The 20,680-nt window shown below is 42.3% G+C and overlaps 2 annotated features.

The window, feature by feature from the left end:
* Positions 3,250-4,449: an enhancer, noted in NCBI's record as "BRD4-independent group 4 enhancer chr6:164648817-164650016 (GRCh37/hg19 assembly coordinates)". NCBI's record gives its function as "activates an origin of replication core promoter dependent on BRD2, P300/CBP, MED14 and CDK7 cofactors, and independent of BRD4, by STARR-seq in HCT116 cells {active_cell/tissue: HCT116}" and the evidence as "EXISTENCE:reporter gene assay evidence [ECO:0000049][PMID:35650434]".
* Positions 18,660-19,859: an enhancer, noted in NCBI's record as "CDK7 strongly-dependent group 2 enhancer chr6:164664227-164665426 (GRCh37/hg19 assembly coordinates)". NCBI's record gives its function as "activates an origin of replication core promoter dependent on BRD2, BRD4, P300/CBP, MED14 and CDK7 cofactors, with strong dependence on CDK7, by STARR-seq in HCT116 cells {active_cell/tissue: HCT116}" and the evidence as "EXISTENCE:reporter gene assay evidence [ECO:0000049][PMID:35650434]".

Here is a 20,680-nt window from a genome sequence, read left to right on the forward strand (position 1 = left end):
TGAACTAGCACTACATGTATCAACATAGATACTCTCACAAACATCGTATTAAATTAATAAACATAGTTTTGGAAAAATACATATGGTATTGTATTAGTGTGTTCTCACACTGCTATGAAGAAATACCTGAGACTGGGTAATTTATAAAGAAAAGAGCTTTCATTGGCTCATGGTTCTGCAGGTTGTACAGGAAGCATAGCAGCTTCTGCTTCTGGGAGGCTTCAGGAATGTTCCAATTATGGCAGAAGGTGAAGGGGGAGAGAGGCACTTCCCATGGTGGGAGCAGGAGCAAAAGAGAGCAGGGACGTGCCACATACTTCTAAACAATCTAAACAATCGGATCTCGTGAGAATTCACTCATGATCACAAGAACAGCGCCAAGAGGATGGTGTTAAACCAGGAGAAACTGCCCCCATGATTCAATCACCTCCCACCAGGCCCCACCTCCAACATTGGGGATTACAATTTAACATGAGATTTGGGTGAGGACACAGATACAAACCATATTGGGTATGATACAAATTCTGTAAAGCTTTAAAAATACAAAACGTAATATATATTGCTCAGAGGTATACATAAGTGGCATAATGCAGGGAAGTGATAACAATTTCTGTTTGTCACAGGAAAGAATAATCACATTACAATTTCTGTTTGAGCATTAACTTTTGCCAATTTGTCAACAACTCTGTCAAATTAATCATGTTTGCATACTCACGTTCAGCAGAGAGTAGGCCCAAATCTGTTCATTTATCATTATCAATAGCTAATTGAATAATGCTTTTTATTAATTTTAAAATTTCTTTCACTTGAAGTAAAAGATATAGCAAAAGTCTTCAAAAATAATGATATGTTTGGCAGAGATTATTTTTGAGACAGGGTCTCTCTTTGTCACCCAGGCTGGAGTGCAGTGGTGCACATGGCTCACTGCAGCCTCAACCTCCTGGGTCCAAAGGCTCCTCCTGTCTCAGCCGCCTGTGCAGTTGGGACTACAAGCGTGCACCACCATGCCTGGCTAATTTTTGTATTTTTTGTGGAGATGGGGTTTCACCATGTTGTCCAGGCTGGTCTCGAACTCCCAGGCTCAAGCAATCCTCCTGCCTTGGCCTCACAAAGTGCTGGGATTACAAGTGTGAGCCGCTGGCCTGCTTCACATTTTAAATGCCATGAAAACTGAAAGTGATCATGGAATAACAGAATTGGAGCAACTCAATTAAATTGTTTCATTTTTTTCCCACCACGCTTTCAATTTTTATTGTAAATCTGCCGGTTTTACTACAAGGTTTGAAAACGTTAACGGAGTCCAAAGTAAGCTTGTATTATCCCAAAACTTTGCAAACTCACTCTCCAAACTGACACATGTAGCTGAGTTCTCTGAAATAACCGTCCTGTCGGATACAACTTATGTTAAGGATAAATAGTAAAAATATGCTTCTTTGGAGTTCACAGATAGATTATTAAAGCTTCATACTAACAGAACTCGAACCAACAAATGATTGTTTTAAGAGAGTATGTTAGCACTGAAGTAGTTTAGAATTACACGGTCATGGTGATAATAAAAAGCAGGCTGGCTTTTTGTGAGTTTGTTATTATTTGGAAATTTGATACAGACAACATCCCCTCTCTTTGTCTGCACTCAGGAGAGCCCCCGTCTGTAGTACACCATAGATTGATCTGTGAACTTGCTGTGTTCTTTTCCATTTTTGCTTAAGTCTTTCTCTTTCCTGATCTCCATATCCCGACTATCCATCCTCTCGAAGTCTACTTTTAATCCCTTTCTTCTGCTAAACCTTCCTGAACCCAAAAATGACAGCAAGCTTTCCAGCACTGGACCTCTGAAGACACTATCCTCTACCATACATAGTACGGTTGATGCCTTCCTAGAATTGCCTTCCATTTTTAATACACTTTTAATCTTCAGTAGTCATATTAGAAAGTTGCAGAGACTATCACTGTATTTTCATAGGTCTTTTGAAAACCTTCTTGACTGATGCAAAGGACAGGAGTGAAGAGAGAAAGGACTTCAATTACATAGCCATTATATTTGTGCAGAATGAGTAAGGCACATTTTCGTAAGCCAAAAATCACTCAGGAAAAGACTCAGAATGCAGACTCCCTGCCCCCACCCGAAGAGACTCGGACCCCCATTATCCCGCTGCAGCAGGAATTTCATATTTTAATCAGTGATATTACCCCCAACCCAGCAGCTGACATTGATGCAGGTGATCCTTGGACCCAAACGGGAAAAACACTTTCTCAGGGGAACTGGTATTTTGTATTGGACGTAAGACACTAAGGACTTTAGGGTATTCCCAATCTTGATTAAACCGACCCTGGAATGATAAAGTGAAGCTATTGTCCAATTCCATTTATGTTAGTAAACAAACATTAGAATAAAATAATGATTGAGAAAATGTTTGTAAACCATTTGGTGCAATGCAAATATGGCTACTAGTTTTACATTGAGGATGGTGGTTGACAAAATATTATTGTGTATGTTTTGGATTAAAAAATAGGGGGGTGGGGTAGGATCATTGGTTCTGTAGTGTGACTCTTGATGATTTCAATAAATGTGTTTATACCAATTCATTAATGGTGTGAAATTGATGTGGGCCAAATCCCTGTCTCAGAGGCAGTGCTGAATGCTTTCTCAATGCCCTCAAACAAGTTTTCAAAACCTGCAAAAATGTCTGCAGAAAGTGGAAAGGGGAAATTAAATTTAGTTTTGTTTGTAAATAAGAAATATTCTGAATCCAAACACATATGCTCTATGCTAAACTCTTACCAGATTAGCATAATCAGAAAGTTGAATTTGTTAATTCTAGATCAAGGAAGGAGTTCTAATCCATGTGTTTCTTTGCACAATTTGAGGACCTATTACAGACTCGGACAGAACATGCTCATTTGCCATTTTAATCATGGCATTCTTTTTGTTGTTGTTGTTGAGATGGAGTCTTTCTCTGTCACCCAGGCTGGAGTGCAATGGTGCCATCTGGGCTCACTGCAAGCTCCGCCTCCTGGGTTCATGCCATTCTCCTGCCTCAGCTTCCAAGTAGCTGGGACTACAGGTACCCGCCACCACGCCCAGCTAATTTTTTGTATTTTTTTAGTAGAGATGGGATTTCACCGTGTTAGCCAGTATGGTCTCGATCTCCTGACCTTGTGATCCACCCGCCTCGGCCTCCCAAAGTGCTGGGATTACAGGTGTGAGCCACTGCACCCGGCCCATGGCATTTTTATGGAGCACAACTCATCCAAAGTTGTCTTTGCTTCCCTGAAAGCAGTGAAGGTCTCGATGGCCCACTTTGAGGGAGATGGAGGAGACATGGGGGCTGTTTCATGTGCAATATTAAACAGCAATTTGTGATACAAGGTGGAGAAGAATATTGCATTCTTGTGTGGAGAGGAAATAAAGAACATGATCTCCTCGAAAGAAACGGGACTAAAACCAATGCCGTGCTTGGGTTAGGGCAGCGGGAGGATGTGACTGTGTCTCCAGTGGGAGAGACTTTCCTCCAGTAGCCATTGCCAGCTGCCTCGCTGATGGCCATTCAGCAGTGACCCTGAGCACGGGCACCTGCCCTGATTCCCAGCCATGCCAGTGGAGCTTCCTTCAAGGTCTTCCCTCCTACGAGTGAACCAGCTTAATCTGGGCTTAGCATGGGAACCGGAAGGTGGGAGGTGGATGAAAGTAATTGGCAGGTGAAAGGAAAAGCAACCTCAGGGTAAGGCCACGGCTGGGAGCCTGAGTTTCCGTCCTGCGGTGACTTTAATGAGTCTCCTCTGGTTGACTTGCAGCCCTGATTAAATACCATTCCTGATGAATGAGCCGGCACAGTCCACGCTGGGACGTCGTGTAGTGCAGGTGGAAGTCAGAAGGGCATGTTTAAGGACATTATGCAGGTCACACAATGACGAAGCCCAGGGAAGAGCACAAATGTCAGGAAGCCGTTTGCCTTCCCACTAGGAAACTGCACTCCACTCTTCTTCCAGGAAGGTGACGTTCCTCCCACTGTCCTGTTTTCCTCCCCAGGCTTAGCAGCTCACCGCATACTGCGCACTTCAGGGTTCTGAGGTATCAGGACCTGATATCCTCTGGCTCACACTTGATCTACTTAGGCTTCTTAGGAAATGACCTGTTTTATACATGCATATTTTCTAAGTAGACATCAAAGCTTCCTTTTTAGCATGGTAAAATTTATTAAATTATAATACTTCTTTTTTTTGCTCTTTACTTGCTTTGCTTTTTTAAAATATTAAAATATTATACTTCTTTTTAGCCTACGACACATGACTTAAGTAATTCCTTCATGACTCAGGCTCCTTCCTACCTTTGGCTGTGAGTTATTTTGTGGTGCCAGCAAATAGCAATGCAATGTTTGCCCTGACTTGAAATTGTCCTTCTCCCTGGGCCTTTGAACACTTCTGCTTGATTTTTATGCTTCCTTGGCTCTTTCCATCACTTTCTCTCCTTGCTCAAAGTGATGCTGCGCAGCTTCCATTCTTCTCTCTCTTCTAATTTGATTTTTAAATAGGCCACATGACCAGACTGTTTTTCAGAGTGTATGTAAAGTAAGGATGAATGAGGATCCAGGTGACAACTGATGAACTAATTCATAATGAAACACATGACTTTTCAAGTCATCCATAATGAGAGACCAGACAACTATTTTACTTCCCAGTTGGATTCATTTTCAATGCAAATAGTTGAGGCTTCTGGTTAAGTAGGCCTTCAAACAAGTAAGATGGGGCTGGGTGATGTCACCTTCTAATTTTTTGATTATTGATATAATCCCTTCAGAACAGGAACTGAATGACATGTATATAGTTTGTATTAATATTAGTAGTGCCTAGGCCTTATATGACATACATATTTAAAGGAAATATTAAAATATTTTCAATTGCAACATGAAATATTTCTCTGGAAGATACTCACCCACGAAATGATCTATGTATACTTCTGTCCACAGCGGCATTGTTTCGAGTGGCAAAAGGCTAGAAGCAACTTCTATATCCTAGAGAGGGGCAGTCTGAAGCAACCGTGAGCCACCTTTCCAATGGACTAGTGAACAGTTGCAAAAATAGAAGCAAAAAGAAGGATGTTCTGTGTGACTTCTGCAGTGCAATTTCTGATCTGGTGACAAGACTGCTGTAAACAGCTGGCCCACAGTGCATCCATGCAATGGAGGCTGATCTCTAGTTCTTCTGGTTGGTGGGCAGCTCTCCCATGGGGACTGCACCCGTTTTCTCTTCTGATCCCATTGTCCTCTAAGGCCTCGTTGTCTGCATCGAGCTGATGGAATGGAACAGAGGCATGGTAGAGGCAGAGTTGTTTCTGAAAGTCTTTGACGTGAAAGCGCGCATGCCTTCTACTCCCATTCTACATGAAAGAACTGCTCATATGTACATATTCAGATTCAAGGAAGGCTGGGAAATGCGATTCTGGCTGAGCAGCTGCTTTTGAACTGTGACTGTTTCCTAGGAAAGGAGAGAATACGTTTGCTGAACACCTAGCTGCCTCTGCTACCATCTCATTTACTTATCATTACATGAAAAAGCAAGATGCATAATATTGTTACTGTGCCGGCTATTTGTCTAAAGAGGCGTGGCGTATATATCTGTACCTATATATGCAGCTCCCATGCTGACCTATGGGAGAGGACTTTTGGGAATTAGTAAATGGGAGATGAAACAGAAGAGAAACTTCACTACACTGTATACTCTCGTAGGTGTTTGAGATGCTACCAATGGAAATTAAATTACCTACTCGGAGAGCAAAATAAATTTAAGATGTTAAAAAAAAAGAGAGAATGCCACCAATCTGGACAGAAGGTAAAGAACATGACTCCCAGACACACTGTAGACCCATCTGGCTCAGGGCCATCCCATCCCACAAGCAGCGTGGGAGTGGATGAAGCCATCTGGGAGCCCCCGTCAGGAGCTGCAGTCTTGAAGACTGTGAGCAAAGCGTAGGCGAAAATGTACCAGAACTGATGTCATTAAAAGAAAGCTGCTTTTCTTTGCTCAGAGAAAAGAGGCAGAAGTTTATAGAAAGAAGATCTCACTTCGTGTGATCTGTGAAATATACATAAGCAAAGCAGGTATATTTTCATAGCTTTTATGTAAATGTATGTTTCTTATTGACCCCAGTGGAAAGAAGGTCTCTTCACCACAGAAAATGAAACATCAATGTCACTTTGCATGGTAAATGTCTCCCACAGCGTCCGCCTCTGGGTTTAGGAAAAGTAGGGTATCAATAGACAGCTAAAGAAGGAGTTGCTGGCCGGCTACTGCCTACAAGAAGAAGTGTGTCAAGGATATTTCATCCCCATTTTCAAGAATTTTTGCCTATAGGACTCCCAGGAGCACAGGAGCCCACTACAAGGAAGGTTATACAAAGAAGTCTCTCTGTGATAAGAGCAACAGCTGCAAAGATGGCGGCTCACTACCTCCATAGTGTGGTCGGTTCATGCAACCCCAGACGCTAACCGAGAGTGCCTGCCTTTCCCATGGGAAGGATGTGAAGACGGTCCCAGGAGGCACGCCCTCTACATTTCCGGGAGTCAGGCTTTCAGAGGGGACTGGAAGAACGTTTTTCACAGTTTGGCAAAAGATTGTCTTAAGCACTGTTGATTGATTGTCTCTGCCCCCATCAATGTTGTGATTATCCAAGAGATATAATAAAGGGCTCTCTTTATCACAGTTACTTATAATGTGCCCTTTTCCTAACTGCCCAGCATTCTCTACTAGATGTGCCAGAATTCCTCCAGTGGGCCCACCGGGAACATGCATGTGATGTCAGTTCTGTGGAAAGTGCCTGACTTTGCATTTCTGGTGTGCCAGCATCCGCTAAGATCTTGTAGGAATAATCACAATTTGCATCCTCAAGAGGTACCATAACTCAAGGGGGAGACAAATATTGAAATTAATAGGATCAGTTGTGATACGTGCTATGATAAAAGCAGAGACTTCTCCCAGATTCTCTGTTTCAGGCATCCATAAAATTACAAATGTAATACAGCACAAACTGGCCATCATTTACCTTGTCAAGAAAGTTATTAAATAAAATCTGTCACAATCACCACCATTTCATAAAATAAAGGTTATTGTAACACAAAAGACTAAAAGCTTATGGTATCAAAGAAGAAAGATAGTTCCTTACTTTTCTAAGTTCTGATGGAGGAAATTTTTACGTTAAAAATTTCTGACACTTTATAATATGCAACTTTAAAAATACAAGTTTGTGATTTTGTTTCGAATTTGGGAACCTATATTCAACAGTGTAATAACAAATGGAGCTGGAATGTTCAACTTTTTCCAGTAACATATTTATCACAGTCATTTCAGAAAATTGTTTCACATAGATTTAATGGTGAAAATTGAAGCAATATTCCTAACGATATTCAGGGTGTTCAGCACCCATATTCCAGGTAAACTGGCATGAATTAAGGCTCTCATTCCTGTAGCTACTTTTTCCTTAAAGATCTGGTGTTCCTCCATCAAAAATGTGTATGAGAGTGACTTCAGGTGTCTCTTGTTAGGCAGTCCCTACGCCTGGGGCTGTGTCACTCAAGGGCTGTAATCACCAACAGGGAGAATTGAGGAATTTTTTCTAAAAGAGATGCCACATATTAATAAAAATGTCTTGGATCTACACAGGCCTACTCCCTGGATGTTGGGAATATCTAGTATAATCTTGAATTTACTCTCAGGAGTAAAGGCTGATTTCAAGGAATATTTTTTAAGTCTGTGCATCTTCTCAGGGCCTACAGACCAGACCGGCTACCGGTTGTTGATGTCAACATTCCTGCAACACTGAGTCAGGTACCTGACTGTGATGGATGTGTCCTCAGTCTGAATTCTCTTGGGAAACTTGAGGACAATTCCATTTTTCATGCATTATTTTCTTGTCATTCTCTAAAGTCAAAACACTGGGACAATCATCCCTTCCCAGACCCTCATTCCCACAGTGCCCAGCCCTTCCCACCCTTGACCAAGCTCTCATTATCTTCCTTTCTCCGTCACCTTTCAACTTGGAAGATTTGTTCCTTTACGTTTGGTTAAGATGCCTAATTCTTCCCAGGAAACTCTCCCTTCCTCTGGTTTTTCTCCTTTATTCTTGCAATGAGGAAATTTATATTAGCATGTTTCTCTAATGATGAACCAATCTTTCATTGTGGAATAAACCAAATATGGCCAGGGTATGTTAGATTATACTTCCCAAAATTTGGTTAACTATTTTATTTAAGATTAATGCTTCCAGGCACAGTAGCTCACGCCTGTAAACCCAGTTTGTTGGAGGCTGAAGCAGGGGGATCACTTACGGACAGGAGTTGGAGACCAGCCTGGGCAATGTAGCAAAACCATTATCCCTAAAATTTTTTTTTTAAATTTAGCCAGGCATGGTAGCACATACCTATAGTCCCAGCCATTTGAGAGGCTGAGATGGGGAAAATCACTTGAGCCCAGGAGTTTAAGGCAGCAGTTAGTATGATCATTCCCCTGAACTCCAACCTCAGTAACAGAGCAAGATTCAGTCCCTTAAAAAATTCAAGTATATACGCTTACAAGTGAAAATAACCTATAATTCCCTTTATTGCCATTCCCCTGTTTTTTTTCGTTTGTTCTGTTTTTTACTTAAAAAATCAGGGTTACAATGGCTTTTAAAAATGAGTTGGGAAGGTGAATATGTATATCCTACTTTCTAAAAGAGCTTTGCATAAGTTTGGAAATAATTGTTCCTTGAATGTTTGTTAGAATTTCCTCATAAAACCTTTGCGAGTCTTGTTTGTTTTTTGTTTGTGGGAAGATTTTTAGGAACTTATTTAATTTCTTTAAAGATCATATTTTCTTTATCCTCTTAAATCAATTCTGGTTATTTGATTTTTCCCTGGAAGTCTTATCCTTACATTTTCAAATATACCAACCTAAAGTGTTCGCAGGTTTGCTTATAACTGTTTTAATCTTAGCTACATCTAGAGACATGCTCCTCTTTTAAATTCCCAGTATGGCTTATTTTGTGCATTCTGTTTTATTCTTTTATTATTATTATTATTTTTAGACAAATTCTCCCTCTGTCACCCTGCCTGGAGTGCCGTGGTGCAAACGTAGCACACTTCAGCCTCAGACTCCTAGGCTAAAGCAATTCTTTTGCCTCAGCTTCCAGAGTAGCTGGGACTACAGTCATGCAACACCATGCTCAGCTAAGTTTTTTAGTTTTTGTAGAGATGGGGTCTTGCTATGTTGCCCAGGCTGATCTCAAACTCCTGGGCTCAAGCAGTCCTCCAGCCTCTGCTTGCTAAAGTGCTGGGATTACAGGTGTGAACCACTGTTCCTGGCTCTGTTTTATTTTTGATTAATATTTTCAAGGATTTGTCAATTCTAGTAGTCTTTTTGGAAACCAGGTTTTGGATTCTGCTGATTCTGCTGATGCTTCTTTTCCATTACATGAAGTTCTGTTCTCATATTCATGATCACCTTTTTCTATCTTCTATGGATTAATTTTTTAAAAAAACTGCAGGATAAGGTGGATACTTAGGTCATTTGTTACAGTCTGTCTTCTCTCTTAGTAAAACATTTAAAGATAGCAGTGTTTAAGTATCTTCTTAGCCAAATCCCACAAGTCTTAATTAGCATTGCTATTAGAATTCAGTTCTAGTTATTTTTAATTTTTAATTATGCCTTTTAGTCTCCTTTAATTAGAAAGTATTCTTGGTCTTTCTTTGTCTTTTATGACCTTCGCACTTTTGAAGAGTAAAACTCAGTGATTTTGCAGCCTTTCCTCAATTTGGGATTTGTTGTGACCTTTTCTTTAGGTGTTCTGCACTTTAACCATGATGGATTTAGGTGCTGATGTCATTCAGTTTTTTTTCTCCTTAGAATTCACTGGACTTCCTAAATTGGAGCTTCATTAAGGATCAGTGTTCTTAAATAATTCTGGAAAATTTTTGGCCATTACATCTCCAAATATTTTCTTGCCCCTACCTTCTCTATTGTCTCATTCTGGAACTCTGATTAGACATATGTTGGACTTCCTCACTCTATCCTCCATGGATTATTCTCTCAGTTTTTCATCTCGTTGTTTCTTTATGGTGCGTTCTGAATACGTTCTTCTGATTTTCTATATCACTAACCTTTTCTTCAACTGTGTCTGATTTGTTTGTCTCATATGTTGGTTGTTGTATCCATTAGTGTCTTGTTATGGAAACACAGTGGCTTAAAACAACATTTAGCATTCATCATAATCTTCTGGATTGGGCGAATTGTTCCCCTGGTCTGAGATCAGTTGTTTGGTTTCTGTAGTCAACCAGCAGCTCTGTTGGGTCTCACATGCCTAAGAACACCTCACTCAGATGTCTGGAGGTTGGCTTGATATTAGCTGGAGTATTGGGGATCACTCAGCTGTGTCTTTCTCATCATCAAGCAGGTTAGCCTGGGCTCATTGACACAATTGTAGGTGCAGGGTTCCCAGTAACATGAAGAGAACAACCCTAATGTGTAAGCTGCTTTTTAGTCTCTGCTTAAATCATGTCGGCTCTTGTTCTATTGGACAAAGAGTGTCAGATGGCCATGCTCAGAGTCAATGTGAAAAGGGACTACCTGAGAACATAGACATGGTGAGGAAATTATTTGGTCACTTTTACACATATTATGCCATACTTCTGCCCAGAATTTTTTCTAAATTCAGCTACTATATCTTTCATTTCTAGAACTTGTATTTGGCTCTTTTTCAAATGACTCTTATTATTTAGATAGTCTTTTTGGTTCCCTTATCATTACTTTTAATGTCTACTTTTATTTCTTTAAAATACTAAATATTCTGTCTGCACCAGATAATTCCAATATCTGATTAGAATAATTAAGTGAATTTTCATTTCACGTAAATCACACTCATGGCAATCTGTTTCCTCATGAGGCTAGTCCTTTTTGAATGTGACTTTGAGTTCCTTGGAACTTTAACCGTATGAGTTCTTAGATGTCTAGGCTTAAAGAGTACATTTCCAGAGAGATTTGTATTTGATCCATAAGATCCCTTAGAATATCTTCACGTAAAAGAACTTTAAACTTACTTGGGATTTTGTGACGCCCTCAGGACATGTGAATGCAGTCCCTGTACCCTCATGAGGATGGCATGTGGTTAGCAACCCTCAGAGGAGAATCCCCTTTCCCCATCTGTCCACAGTCAAGATGTGACAGGCTCATTTGCCCCCCTTCTGTCTTGCATAACAGATTTTCCTAATTTAGCCAATAAATTCCTTCTTTTGGAAGTCTTTGCATTAAGTATGTATTTCTAACTTGACTTTATTTCCTTTTCAAATCTCAACTTTTATTCCTTATCCTTGTTTTGGGGGACATGTTAAAAACTCATACTGTAAGCCACCAGGAGGGGGAAGAACCTGTAGGACAAATTCTGGCTCCTACATTCTTTTACCTTTATGATTTCACTTTTGATTAAATGTCTTGGACCTGAAGAAGTTCCTACTTGCATACATCTCATTCATGTATGTGAATGCATAATATACCAGGAGGTGTTCTCTGAACCTTTGCTCATCAGCTATCTAAAAACAGAATTTTATATATGCTTTTCATTCTGGTGTTGTGTAGTCAGTGATATTGTTATGGACTGAACTGTGTTCTCCCAAAATTCATATGTTGAACTACTAACCTTCAGTGTGACTGTACTTAGAGATAGAGCCTTGAAAGAGGTATTTAGAGTTAAATGAGGTCACAAAGATGGGGACTTATCCAACAGAACTAAAGTCCTTTTAAAAAGAGGAAGGGACGGCTGAGCGCAGTGGGTCACGCCTGTAATCCCAGCACTTTGGGAGGCCAAGGTGGGCAGATCACAAGGTCAGGCGATCAAGACCATATTGGCTAACACGGTGAAACCCCATCTCTAATAAAATACAAAAAATTAGCCAGGCATGATGGCAGGCACCTGTAGTCCCAGCTACTCGGGAGGCTGAGGCAGGAGAATGGTGTGAACTCAGGAGGCAGAGTTTGCAGTGAGCCAAGATCACACCACTGCACTCCAGCCTGGGCAACAGAGTGAGACTCCGTCTGAAAAACAAAACAAAACAAAAAAGCAAAAAGAGGAAGGGACACCAGGAGTGCATCCACACTAAGGAAGAGCCATATGAGAACACAGTGAGAAGGTGGCCGTCTGCAAGCCAAGGAGAGGCCTTAGGAGAAGTCATAGCTGCTGACACCCTGATCTTGGACTTCTGGTCTCGAGAACTATAAGAAAATAAATCTCAGTTGCTTAACTAATGTAGCCAGGTAGCCTTTGGTATTTTTTTTTATGGCAACTCTAGCAAACTAAATAATACAGATTTTGGTACCACTGGTGCTACTGTAACCAATACTGAAAAATATGAAAGTGGCTTTGGATCGTGTAATGGTAGAGCATAGGTGAGTTTTGAGGAGCATGTTTAAAAAGACTGGATTGCCTTGTAAAGACTGTTAGTAGAAATATGGATGTTAAAGGTTATTCTGGTGCAGTCTCAGATAGAAATGAGGAACATATTATTGGAAACTAGAATAAAGATAATCCTTGTTATAAATTGGCAAAGAACTTGTCTGAATTGTATTCTGGTGTTCTGTAGAAAGTAGAACTTGTTTGTGCTGAATTTGGATATTTAGCTGAGATTTCTAAGCAAAGTGTTGAGTTATGGCCTGGATTTTCCTTACTGCTTATAGTAAAATGCTAGAGGAGAGAAAGTGAAGAAGGAGAATTGTTAAGCAAAAAGGAACCAGAACTTGAAAATTTGAGAAATCCTCAGCATATCCATATTGCAAAAAATGAGAAAGCATGTTCTAGACAGTACACCAAAAATGTGGTTGGAAAATTGCTTGATAAAAAGATTATAGGTGTAATTCAAGAAGCCATGCAGTCATCTTAGTGGAAGCCAGGGATAGAGATGGGGTAATAGCAGCAGAAATACAGCCAGTTTGCACTGAAGGAGGCAGAGGTGGGGTAAAATGAAGGAAGGCTGCCTGAGTTCCAGCATTCTGCAGGATGGCAAAATGGAGCTATCTGGCTGTGGACATGTGATATGGTTTGGTGCTGTGTCCCCACCCAAATCTCACCTTGAATTGTAATAATCCCCACGTGTTGTGAAAGGAACCTGGTGGGAGGTAATTGAATCAGGAGGGTGGGTTTGTTCCTTGCTATTCTCATGATAGTGAATAAATCTCACGAGATCTGATAGTTTCTTACAGGGCAGTTCCCCTGCACGTGTTTTCTCTTGCCTGCTGCCAAGATGTGTCTTTTTCCTCATTCGCCTTCCACTGTCATTGTGAGGCCTCCCCAGCCACGTGAAACTGTGAGTCCATTAAACCTCTTTCCTTTATAAATCACCCAGTCTCAGGTATGTCTTTATTAGCAGCATGAGAACAGACTAATACAACATGTATTATTCTTCAAGAAGAGGGAAACACGGCCCTAAAAGTGATTCTGAGATTCTCAGGGATGTTTCTCCCACCACAGGCCCAGAACACACAGGTCTGGGGGACAAGCCTGTCTTCCACCTCCTCAGGGTCAGTAGGCCAGGCTGCAACCACTCGGGGCCTCAGGATAACGCTACTCCTCAGCACCACAGATGGGGCTGTCACCCAAACCTGTTGGGGATGCTGCTGCCACTGCAGTCCCAGAAGGTGGAACTTCCACCATGAGGGGCCCATGGGGCAGAGCATCAAGCCAAAGAGGATTATTCTTGAACCTTAAAATCTAATGAGCTTGCCTTGCTAGGTTTTGAACTTGTTTGGGACATGTCACCCATTTCTTTTTTCCAATTTTTCTTTTTTGTGGTGAGAATGTCTATCCTATGCCTGTGCCACCACTGTATTTGGAACACATAACATAGCTGGTTTCATATGTTACCAGCGGGAAAGGAACTTTGCCTCAGGGTGAATCACACCTTATTGCCCACCCATACCTGATTTAGGTGATATTTAGATGAGACTTTGGGGTTAGAGTTGATACTAAAATGGGTTAAGACTTTTGGGGGGCTGTTGGGCTGGAGGTGTTTGTATTTGCATATGAGAAAGTCATACATTTGGGGGTTCAGAGGGCAGAGTGCTATGGACTGAGTTGGGTCACCCTAAATTTCATACATTGAAGCCATAATTCCTAATGTGACTGTATTTAGAGATAAGGCCTTTAAAGAGATACTTAAGTGAGATCATAAGGGCTGCACCCTAATCCAATAAGACTGGTATCCTTATAAGAGGAGAAAGATACACCAAGGCATTGCATACACAGAGGAAAAGCCATAAGAGACACAGTGAGAAAGAGCCTCCGGCAAGCCAAGGAGAAGGGCGTTTGGAAAATCCAGACCTGCTGGCACATTAACATTGAACTTCTGGTTTTCAGAACTGTAAAAAAATTGATTTCTGGTGTTTAAGCTACCTAGCCTGTGGTATTTTGTTATGGCAGCCATAGCAAACTAATATAGATGTCTCCAGCACTGCCTGAAAATCTTTCTACAAAAACATAATAGTTCATTTTCCCATTGCCTGCAGTATAGACTTCTAGTTTTGCTGTTGTCTTCCAGATCCCTATGCCAAAGGCATAAGGGTCCATAACTCCCCACACCACCTACCCATTTTTCTGTCCATATAAACTTCCTTTCATATCTGGCCTAGAGACTTGCAATCCTTTACCTCAACCACTGTCTTGCCTTTGTCCTCAACCATCACAACCACCTCTCGTGAATCTCCAACCCCGGAATAATGCAGCATCCACGATTTCTAACCCCTCGCCAACATCATAATGATCTTAGTCAGTGGATACTGCTTGAAAAAATCTAACTTGGTAGCTGGCCTTCCCACTTCCAGTCTCCCTCCCTCCAATCCATTCTTGACTTGCTACCTCCAAAGTGTGGCTTCTAGAAGACACCAGCCACATCATTCCCCTGTGTAAAATCCTTCAGGGACTTTGCAAGACCTAGCTACTCGCTTCACCTCTATAGTTCCATCTTTACTCAGTTCCCTGATTACATTCTATGTTCTGTTCATTCCAAATGAATTCCAGTTCCCAGAACCATCTAAAACCCTCTTGTCTCTCTGTGTTTGCCTATTTCACTCCCTTAGCCTGGGCAGTCCCTCCTGTCTGTCCCTTCACACTTGCTCTTGTCTTCTGGCGGGCTCCACCAAGTGCCCTGTAGCTCAGCCCATGCCTCACCCGGGGGAAGCATTTCACAGATTCCCTAGTCTGGGCTGGGTACCTTGAGTTCAGAATGCCTTGGCGCACAAGCATTCTCTGTGACCTCATCATGCTGCTTTGTAGCCATAGGTTTATCTGTCTCTTCCTTTAGGAAAGAGTATCTTATTTGTCTGTATTCCCAGTGCCAAGCAAAAGGCTTGGCATAGAGTAGGCACTGAATAAATGATTGCTAATTAATGGGTGAGTGAGTGGAACCATTGGAACACGTGACAATGGAGCCACAGTCATTCGGAAAGAAACTAGCAACCACAAGGTGCGCCGTCAGCCACACCCCATCACCTGAATAAGACGGGCAGAGACATGGCTTTGCCATTTACAGTGCATCACCCCCACGGTCCTGTTGAATGGGCTGCCACAGCCGTCCACATAGAGTCTTCCACTCTAGGCTCTTTGTTTAATTACATATGCCTCCCAGCCTGGCAATCCTGATAACGTTTATTCCATTTTTCTCCTAAAACACATCTATAATTCTGTCATGTATGGAATGCATGTATTTATTGTGGTTATTGTTTATTTTCTGGGTCCTCTTACCCAATAGTGAGTCTCATTCAAGGCAGGGTCTTTGTCTCATCCCCTGTTGTATCCCAAACACTTAGAACAGTGCCTGCCACACAGGGAGTTTTCAACACACATTTGTTGAGTAAGTGAATTTTCAGACTTTTTTTTAAAAAGCCTGAGATTCATGGATGTGATTCACTTAAGGTTACCCATATGGTTTCGAGTGAAACTGTGCATGGAAGGTGTCAGAACTAAATCTATAGCTGATGGCAAAAAGTGTTTTCATCAACTAACCCACATTTTAGGTGACCAACTTTCTTGTGCAAATGTACAAATTAACACTTACTTTAAAAAAAATCAAGAAGGTATGCGCACTCCTACAGCCTCCGTACTAGCTCTCTTTGTTCAGCTTTCATTCAGGTAGCTGGGTTCTTACGGCAAGAGATCAAATTTGACGAGATTCTCATGATCTCACTTAGAATTATGAGCAGCATAAGGAAGGAGCAGGTGCGAGAAAGAAAGGTGATGTTAATGTGTGCCTGGACATCTCAAGTAGCGCGGATGACTGAAACCCCTCTAAGTTCCTGAATTTTAAAAGCTTCCCCCACCATTATCACCATTAATCTGGGTTCCATGCACTTGACGTTTGAAGTGTGCAGTCCATGATACCTCAAAAACGAAATGGTTAACAGCAACACCCTGAGGTAGCTCCCTAACTTCTGCTTCCTGGTGAATGTTTAATGGTTTTGCACAGAAATAACCATAATATGTATCTACCTATTATTTATACATACATATGTATGTATAAGCATATGCACACACACAGAGGCATACATACACACATACATGCATATGCATATAGGCTTGCACAGGGGCATACACACACATGCATACATGCATGCGCATACATGAATTTATGGTCTTGCTATTTCCAGCTTGATTTTGAAGCAAAGTGTTATCAGTCCACTTTCATTCTGCTGATAAAGATATGCCCATGACTGGATAATTTATAAAGACAGAGGTTTAATGGACTCACAGTTCCACATGGCTGGGAACTGTGAGATTGTGAGAACATGGCTTTACAATCATAGCTGAAGGTGAAAGGCAAGAGAGAATGAGAGCCAAGTGAAGGGAAATCCCTCATAAAATCATCAGATCTCGTGAGACTTATTCACTACCAGAACAGTATGGGAGAAATTACTCCCATGATTCAATTATCTCTTACTGGGTCCCTCCCATAACACATGGGAATTTTGGGAACTATAATTCAAGGTGAGATTTGGGTGAGGACACAGCCAAACAATAACACAAGAAGTATTTGATTTTTTTTCTCCCAAAAGAGGCTTGAAAGTTTCTTCCAGAGCCTGGGCGCAGTGACTCATGCCTGTAATCCTAGCACTTTGGGAGGCGAAGGCGAGCGGATCATGAGGTCAAGAGATTGAGACCATTCTGGCCAACATGGTGAAACCCCATCTCTACTAAAAATACAAAAATTAGCCAGGCATGGTGGTGGGTGACTGTAGTCCCAGCTATCTGGGAGGCTGAGGCAGGAGGATCGCTTGAACCCAGGAGGTAGAGGTTGCAGTGAGCAGAGATTGCACCACCACACTCCAGCAAGGTGACAGAGTGAGACTCTATCTCAAAAAAAAAGTTTCTTTCAAAAGTCAAAGCACCTGTGTGACATGACAAGGAGAACAAAGAACACAGCTGAGAATCAAGCTCAGAGGAGACTGCTCAGCATACAAGAAGCTGCAGCGTTGCGTAGGCATCTGTCAACCACTAACACTGGGGCAGCAGGTTGAAGAGTCGTCCCCCCAAAGATACCTCCACCTGGAACCTCAGAATGTGGCCTTTTTTGGAATAAGGGTCTTTGTAGATATTTTTGCAGATTAAGGCAAGGATCTTGAGATAGGATCATCCTAGATTAAGGGTGGGCCCTAAATCCGCTGACAGGTGACTAATAAGAGGCAGAAAATGAGACGCAGAGACAGGCACAGGGGATCAGGCCATGTGAGGATGGAAGCAGTGATGGGAGTGATGCAGCCACAAGCCCCAATGCCAAGGCTTGCCAGCAACACCAGAAACTGTGAAGGGTAGGTAGAATCCTCCCCTGGAGACTTTGGAGGGAGTGTGATCCTGTCCATACCTTGGTTTTTGACCTTTGGTCTCCAGAATACTGAGAAAATCAATTAGTCTTGTTTTATGACACGAAAATTATGGCGATTTGTGCGGCATCCCTATGAAACAAACACAACAGATGACCAGAATTTGCCATACGTTTCGAGGGGAAGTCGACCTTCCATAAAATAAATCCTCTACTGATAACTCAACACTTAAAGTGTGAAACATCACTGGATCTGAGATCACAGAGGTACAAAAAGTAGGCCCTCAGAAAGGAGCAGGAACATAATCCAGTACACGACTCAGTGATCAACATGAATTGTGTTTCTAGTGGAGTGAGAAGTGTTGATGGGGGTGAATTATGACTAAAAAGGGGGAGAAGGATCAAGGTTATCCGGGAGAAGTAAATGGATTTAAATTGTTAAATTCAGGAGCACAGTAGAGGTTAACTGTCTTTGAGAGAGGGAAAATGGACACCACAGTGGAATGCTTTGTTTCCTTTTAAGCACGAAAGTAAAGAAGCTGCCCCCAAGTAAAAGTGCAGCTCTCCCTCCCGTGCTGCGTAAACTCCTCTCCCATTTCTCCTGGCAACAAGACCCCTACTTCCTTACAGTAACATTATAAAGATAACAGGGTCGGACACACATGTATCTAATTTTGCTCCACCTTGTCTCTTCAGGAAAGCCCAGGAAGGATTTTGGAGGTTTGTGCCACAAAGAATGATATTATGAAGGGGAAGACATGCCTTGTATGTAGAAGGTTTGAAATGAGCCCCAGCTGTCTTGAGAGTCCTTCCAGGGCCGGGGCACCCACTGTGTCTGTTGCGGAATCGCTGCTGAGTTATAAGCTAGGTGATTGTGTGTCCCCTTCTTGTTTCCATTTATTTGAACACAACTTCTTGGAAGGAGAAATCCAAAGTCTGCAGTTTTCAAAGGGAGCAGTGGCTGAGATGCTCCTGCTACCTACATCAGGGCTCATGTTGCCGGATGCAGCCACACTTCAGCTGCTCTGCTCTCCTTGCCGTGGAGAGGTGTTCAATCACCACAATCACTGTTCTGCTCTGATAAGGAGCTGGGGAAGGGAGTGAGTACCTGTGATGATTAATACTGAGTGTCAACTTGATTGGATTGAAGGATGCAAAGTATTGTTCCTGGGTGTGTCTGTGAGGGTGTTGCCAAGGGAGAATATCATTTGAGTCAGTGGACTGGGAGAGGCAGACTCACTCTCTATCTGGGTGGGCACCATCTAATCAGCTTCCAGCAAGGCCAGAATAAAAACAGGCAGAAGAACGTGGAAAGACTAGACTGGCTTAGTGTTCTGGCCTCCATCTTTCTCCCATGCGATACTTCCTGCCCCTGAACATAGGACCCCAAGTCTTTAGCTTTGGGACTCGGACTGGCTTCCTTGCTCCTCAGCTTGCGGATGACCTACTGTGGGACCTCACCTTGTGATCGTGTGAGTCAATACTCCTTAATAAACTCCCCTTTATATATACATCTATCCTATTAGTTCTGTTCCTCTAGAGAACGCTGACTAATACAGTACCCACTGCGAGGCCTTTGTAGGCGGTTCATAAATATGTACAATAAAGGCCATACTCTTCTTATGCAGTCACCCTTAATGAATCATTTTGTCTTCTTCCTACAGTCTGGATAGACAGCAATGAACTATGCCATGCTGTCTACTAATGTTGGACCTGATGGGCACCATCTGACTCAAGATGTTTGTTGACGTTCAGTGTGGGCAAAGCTAGTGAGCAGCCGCCCCTTAGAGCTCCGTCTAGGGCTGTGCTGTGAGTTGGTGTGCGAGACCTTTCAGACCCACAAGGCGGCGTGGGAAGAAGAGCATGGGCTGTGCGGTCAGCCCACCATGCATTCTAATTTTGCCTCTGCCATGGGCTAAGACAGAATCTTAGAAAACAGAAGTGCTGTGTCTCGGTCTCCTTATCGCTGAAGTTAGAATGATTCTTAGTGCATATTGCTTTTCTGAAAATCTAATAATGACTATCAAGGACTTAGTGGGCACTCAAAATAAAAAATACCCTAAGAGCAAGGGAGAATGAACACAAGCTGTTGCCAGCCTGGAGGGAATCTACCAAATTCCCTATTTTTAAATGACGATTTATCTGATGGCTCCTATATTTATCTTGAAATTGCGTGTGCATTTCGCAGTCTGCAGCATGATTCCTCCTCGAGGACAGGACTTCTCCTGCAGCCGCCCCAGTGTCTGCTTTCTCTCCACACTTCTCACCCTACGTCTAGGGCAGAGGAAGATATCCAGCTTCATCCTCTTCGCAAACTCCAGCTTACATTCCCTCCTACTCTGGTGGATCCACAGTGTCCTACCCATCCCTGGCATAGTTAGCTACAGAGCCCAAATCACCTGCCATCCTTCCAGGGAGATGGCCACTTCTAACTCATGGCTGCTTTTCCAGCACAACACCTGCCCTTATAATGGGATTTCCTCTGATTTTCTCCAGATATCCAATCAGCTGTACATTGTTTCTCCCGATTGCCACAGCGATATAGCTGAGGGTTCTGTTCCCAGTCCCCATCTTACGTGGTACCTTCAGTCCAAGAAAAGGCGGGTTAGAAACACGAGTATCTAATTTGCTCTACCTTGTCACTTCAGGAAAGCCCAGGAAGGATTTTGGAGGTTTGTGCCGCAAAGAATGTCATCATGAAGGGGAAGACATGCCTTGTAGGTAAAAGGCCTTACTCCACCTAGGTTCCGGGGCACTATTCTCTGGATTCTCTTCTTGCCCCTGACTCTACCTTCAACCTCTCAGTGTTGGAGGGCCCCATATCTCCAGCTTCTGATCTCTCTTGGATCTGTACT

Source organism: Homo sapiens, chromosome 6 (genome assembly GCF_000001405.40).
Source record: "Homo sapiens chromosome 6, GRCh38.p14 Primary Assembly".
Taxonomy (NCBI): domain Eukaryota; kingdom Metazoa; phylum Chordata; class Mammalia; order Primates; family Hominidae; genus Homo; species Homo sapiens.